Here is a 6,405-nt window from a genome sequence, read left to right on the forward strand (position 1 = left end):
TGAGAGAGAGATGAGGGGATGGGAGGGAGAGGTTATATAATAGAGAAAAGGAATGCAAAGCAAAATCTAATAAAAATCCAGGGAACACGGAATCAACAACTTTGCTTTCAAATGCATCATTACGTTGTTTTCATCCTTTTGTTTTGCCCACTGTTTTCAAAGATTTTTAGGCTCTCAAGATTTCGGTGAAGAGCCACTTGAGGTAGCCACACAGGCTTGTCACTAAAAGGTCCTGGAGCTGAGGAGTTAATGGACCCCAGAAGTCTACTGCCACTGCAGTCACGCACAGCATCAGAGTTACAATTTCCATGCTGGTAATGAGCTGAGCATGCCCCATGGTCTGAAACAGATCCATGGTAGGATGCTACTTGTTGCAAATAATAGCAACTGTGAACAGCATGCTAGTGGGGCTGACTCTGGGCCTGGGATCCACTGTGGCACAAGTATCGCCAGTGAGATTTAATTGCTCACCTTGAGAGCCACTGTAGATAGGGCACAGGACATGGGGAGAACTGTTTCCACCCCTTGGATGGCAGTTCCTTCCACTTATTGGCTTTAGTGGGTGTCGGTCAATGTGCCTTACTTTTCAAAGAGCAATGTTGAATCTCTATCAAGTAATACAGCCAAGAGATCCTTCCAGTCTCTCCTGCAGCAGTTCAACAATTCTCAGGAAATATTTATTTCTGCTTATTAACAATGTTGACCAAGGATTAAGCGTTCTTATTTCTGGACTTTTTCTCTCCCTTGAGTTGTCTCTTTGGACAGGGAGCAGAGATGGCACCCAGGCATACCTACAAAACTTAATTGCTCCTTTCCCCTGGTTGTCTTGCCTGCCACTGCTATTGAAGCCAGGCTAATTAGTTTCTTCCAGAAATATCCATCCAAATCTGTGCTAGTCAAATCAAAATATCTTTTTAATATAGCTTTCAAGGTGCAGGGAGAGCATTGATCGTAATATCTCTGTTTCCCCTTGAATGCCAAGATGGAAAAAAAATATGTTCCAGTCAAATATCCCCCCAAAAAGAGCATGTCAAAGTATTAAATGCATCAGTGATAGCAAAATAGTTAAAACCCTGCTGTTGCAGCAGACTCGGGGTCATTACTTTTGATGAATATTTTCCTTTTTTTAAGAGGCATAGCTAATATAAGTAAGTAGACCAAAGAGGATATTTAAAATATATCCATAGATTGCCTTTTGTTAGGATCTTTAACCCTGGAAAATCATGTCCATAATCGTAGCTCATTATCTTAATTAGATCTGTCCTACATTATCTCATGATTTATTCTCATTACTTCATAGGTGATCAGCCTTTTGAAAAGGATGTGAGCAGAATTTGCTGATTTTTATTGTGATAGTGTCTGTCTTCTCTTTCAAACTCTATTTAGATCTTTTGGGTATAATAATGGTGATGCTATATTTAATTAAAAATTACATTAGAAAGATATTAATATTCATTCTACTGAATGAGCACAGGATTAACTCAAGAATTAAAACCTCTATAATGGCTAATGAGGTGAACTATGCTGGGATGCCCATAAAAACAGAAATGAATCATAAAAATGGCCTAAAGTCTGAAGCTTTTTGTCCTATTGTCATGCTGTTTGTATGGAAACCAGGGCTATCTGCTCACAAGTCACTTGAACATATGCTTGCCCCCAAGGGAGTGATGGTACCTGATGTTCAAGTTGCAGCTTCTTAGGATCAAGATTGTGTTGTCAGGAAGTTGTACCTTCTCTCTTCTTCTATCCCTCTCACTCGGGTTAAAAACATGAGGAATAGCTGTTTTAATACCTTGTCAGTTAACATGGGTTTATATCGTTTGAGGTAGGAAATAAATACCACACTTTCAGTTTTCTGGTTTGTAATACAGATTGTAATATAGGAGAAAAATTACAGATGAAGAAGGCAGAATTTGGCTATTGATACAAAATAGGAAGGGAACATTGCAAGATTAAAGTTATTAGCAACTGTGTGTGGAGCAGTTATCTCTAGATGAGACATCACTGGGCAAATGCTGGCACCTTCTGGGGCAGGTTGGTCCTAGAGGGAGAAACAGTCCCAGGGCAGGGCAGACAATTAGGATTATGGAAGTTCACTGTCAGGAAACATGCTCATGGGCAGCTTACTCATGGCTGAAGGGAGGTCAAGGTAGAAAAGGTCAGGGCCTAGTGAGGAAACCATAGCTGAAAGACCAACAGGCTTGGCTGGCTACAGTTGATGAGTTTCTAGATAATCGTTTTGTAGCAAATGTGGACAAAAATATGGAGTACAAAATCAAATTTTGTTCTGTCCTAAAGGTATCCTTGGAAGAAAGGTAAAGTGTGGTGGAAAGAGCTCTAAGCTGAATCAAAGAAATTTGTAGTCCTTCTTCATCTATAAGCCATTAATCAAATTGCTTAACCACTTTGGTCCTCAAATTCTTTATCTCTGAAATTAGAAGGTTGAAGTAGAGCATGATCACTAAGGTCCTCCCAACTCTAGAGTTATAAGTTTATCTCACACGAAGAGTATTGCAATAAAAGTAAAAATATCAGGTATGGTAGATTGAGTGTAAAAAGGCCCCAGTCATTGCTCTTTTAGAATCTGCCTCCCATGCAATTGACTACGCAGCTTTTCCCATGGAGGTGGAGTCTACATTTGAATCTGGTGTGGCCTTGTTACTTGCTTTGGCCTACAGAATGGGATGCGAGTAATGGTGATCCAGGTCCAAGTTTAGGCCTCCAGAAGTCTTTTGCTCTTTTGCTGTTTCTCAGACCCCTGTATCCACTGACAGGACAAGACTGAATTAAATTGCTGGAGGAATGAGACAGGTAGAAGAAAGCTGTGTCATTTCAGTCAAGGCTTCCTCATTCAGCAAACCTCAAGCTGGTCTGTTAGCTGATCACAGACACATGAGTGAGTCCAGATGAGATAATCCAAACCCAGCCCAGATTACCGGGGCTGCCCACTCTACCCAGACTTGTGAGAAATAAGAAATGCTCCTTGTAATAAACCCGTAAGTTTCGGGGGTTTTCATATGATAAAAGTTAACTGATATGTAAGGTCCACTTGTTCACCTAAGAATTCGGTACCCAGTAAAATCCTCTCTCTCTCTCTCTCTCTCTCTCTCTCTCTCTCTCTCTCTCTCTGACTGTGACTATTTATCATGGTCTTCAGGAAATATTTCCAGAGTATTCATGAAAAATCTTACTTGCCAAATAACACCCACAGGGTCCTACTACCACTTCTACTGGGTGCTGTTGATTCAATTGGGCATGTTGATACCCTATTCGTGGTGGTCATTGCTTCTACCTTTTTCTGCCTTGCACTAGGGAATCAACAAGTGCTTCAAGATGCCAAGGCTTTTCTTGAAAAGAGGGCAGTGAAATTGCGGAAATGCCTTGCTCCTCATTTTTTGCTATTTTCTGTTACATGGTTACTAAAGCTATGTCAATATGCCTAATGTCTTAAGGAAGTTTAAATAAAATAAATTTTAGGTTTTACTTATGGTTCTTTGTTTCTCCAGGACCCTGGGCCAGGGAAAGAAATGAATGAAGATGCCACCTTATGCCCAGAACACATCTCTCATTCAATGATAAAGGATTTGTGGTTGGGTCAACTTTTGTGATGCTCAACTCTTTCCTTCGTAAGGACGGGCTCTTTCTCAGGAGGCTTTTGTACTCCCAATTAACGCACTGCTGTAAGTTTGCCATATCATTATGTAACACATACCTGGATGTGTTTGAACTCTGTCTCAGGATGAAGCTATGATGTCCCATTGCAATTGTTTTGAAATCTGCTTCCTGTATCCAGAGAGAGGGGCATTAAGATCCCAGAGATACGTAGTTAAACATAACCTGCATATCAGCTGCTCTTCATTGCAAAATGTCTGTGTTTGCACATAATACCTTAATGTTTTCAGCTTCAGCTCACTTCAACATAGACATTTATGGGATCTTTTCAAACCTATCCTTCTCCATTTATTCACACCACAAAATCTAGTGATCGGCATAGACCCTGATAAAACTTTTGTAGGGAGAATGAGGATGGGGCTTATATTGCATAATATATTAATCTAACTTCAGCTATGTTGTGATAATAAATAAACCTTCAGATCTTAATGACTTTGTATAAACAATAAGTATTTCTCTCCCATGCAGAATCTGATGAAGCTCTATTTTGTAGCTATGCCATCTGGATCACATAGCCTCCAAGGCCAGCAGAGCAGAGGAAGACAAAGAGCAGAGCAAGATAGAGGTGGAAGTTACACGTCCTTTGTGCTTACTTTCTACTGGCCTCATCGGGTCGCAAGATCCCACTCTGATAGGTGCATGGGGGCTTGGAAAATTAGAAAAACATGTGAATATTTGGTAGGCACTTACAATCTCTGCCAGCATCTGCCCTTCTAATCAGCAAATTTTCAATTACTTTTTTCTTCACCCACATAAGACATCTTAATCCAACCTCAGGGGACACATCCTGATGTCCAATCTAGTCACTACTTCAAGCTTAATGGGATACATGGGCCTCTCTGTCATGTCTGCATGAGGCTCTTCTTGATCAGTTGACCTATGAACTGAAAGAAAGCATATATCGTTGTCCTCCACTGTCTATATCACTGCATACAGAGTGGTGGAAAGGAACAGAATAACGATGGTATACATTCCTATTTGAAAGGGGATGATTAGAGACACAAAACAATGATAACATCTCACTGGTCAGACATGGTGAAAGTTCCCCTGTGCAGGGGATGGTAAATGTTCCTTAATTAGGCCTTGGTTCTGGTCCTCGAGAGGCATTCTTTTATCCATTGTCCTCTATGGCTGTAATCTGTGCCCTCCAAGATATTCTTTCTTTTCCATTACTCTCTGAAGTGGTTGAGGGGGAATACGTCTTCCTTTGGGGCTGCACGGTTTTCTCAGCAAACTTCTTTCCCACAGAACATTGGCAGCTTAAGGGTTATAAGTCTCAAAATGTCAGTGGCTTTTTTTAGTCCAGGCTCATGATTTATTTAACAATGCATTTCCCTCAAACACACAGTAGGCTTCTGATCTATTTGCTTTAAATAACTTTCATGTGGTAGTAACCACACCTAAAGTTCTTTTCTAGGCATAATTCTAAAATCTGCTTTGTTTCGTTGCTTTCTCACTTCTGTGCATTTCTCTCTCTTCTATATGGGGGCTGTGTTGAAGATGTCTGACTAAGAGGTAGAAAGTTCACACACTTAATCTGTTTACACTCTTAATTGATTCTCATCCTAAGTCATTTCATCCAATGGGGACATTTCACTGTGATTTTGTGGCAGTCTTTTGAGATGCCAAGTCTTCCTGTTTAGAGCCTAGAAGTAGTCACTGTTCCAACTTAGAAACTTCCAAATTTCTGAACGATTTTTATTCCTTTCATTTCTGTTTGCAAGCCAGCCAGGGTTTTCCTGAGCTTATTTCATTATTGTAATCCTCTGCCAAATACAGCCAACATTCACTTTCAACATTGTTTCCCTAAGTCGTTGGACTCAGAAGCCCCACAGTCTGCCTCCCAAATTACCACAGGATTTTAATTTTTGCCAAATGGTTTCCTACTGCTTAAAATGGATTGCCATTTTTTCCAGCCTCTAACATTGGATTCTTCACTGCCCTCTGCCTAATTACTAAGTCATTGCTACACGTTTCAGGTTTCTTTGTGTTGGCCTCTTATCACTGATAAAAATTCTGAATTTGTTAGGATAGGCTAGACTATGCTGTGAAAACAAATATCCCCATTTCAATTCACTTGCTGAACAAAATGAAGTTATCTTTTTTGTTCACACAAAATCTCCAGGTTCCCGTCTGATTTCACTTTGGGCTGTGGTTGTGAGTATTGGAGAAGTATAAATTGTGGGGCAAATGGAAAGGAAGTTCAAGGTGACATTTTGCTTAGCAAACTCGAAGTGTATGTTGGTATTATTGCTTAGGTATGGTATATTTATTTGTATGTTTACATAGTGTGACTGCCTAATGGCATTAAAAAAATCTATAGTGCATGGTTCACTGTTTTCCCTTCGCTGAGAAGAGCAATGAGTAAGAATAGAAATAGGAATATATTTTATCTGATGAACCAGGGTGAAAATTAGCAAAAAATTTGTGACAGTGGATATATAAAATAAAATTTCCCCTTAAGTTATATAATCATGTTTACACTTTTTGCATATGTAACTAAATGAATGTATACTTTCTTCTAGTGGCTTACTGGTAGAAAATAAACACAGATGTTTTTGTTTTATATTTTACAGCAATGCTTTCAGTAACCTGGAGAGGTACACATGGCTGGTATAACAATTATCTTCATTTAATGATGTGGAAACACCTACCACAAGTCCTGGCACATTGAGGGTCTTGAATAAATTCTGTCAGATGAACGGACAAGCGCACAAAAGGTTGAAAGAGTGA

The 6,405-nt window shown here is 39.7% G+C and overlaps 1 long non-coding RNA gene across 1 annotated transcript in view; it reads left to right on the forward strand.

Moving 5' to 3' along the window:
- Positions 1-6,405, forward strand: part of ICA1-AS1 (ICA1 antisense RNA 1) — an 81,057-nt gene extending 74,652 nt beyond the window's left edge. The window contains exons 4-6 of the long non-coding RNA NR_125740.1: positions 3,507-3,680; positions 4,141-4,350; positions 6,249-6,405. This is a non-coding gene — a long non-coding RNA (ICA1 antisense RNA 1). The remainder of the gene's footprint in view (positions 1-3,506; positions 3,681-4,140; positions 4,351-6,248) is intronic.

The sequence above is a fragment of the Homo sapiens genome, chromosome 7, assembly GCF_000001405.40.
Source record: "Homo sapiens chromosome 7, GRCh38.p14 Primary Assembly".
NCBI classification, from domain to species: domain Eukaryota; kingdom Metazoa; phylum Chordata; class Mammalia; order Primates; family Hominidae; genus Homo; species Homo sapiens.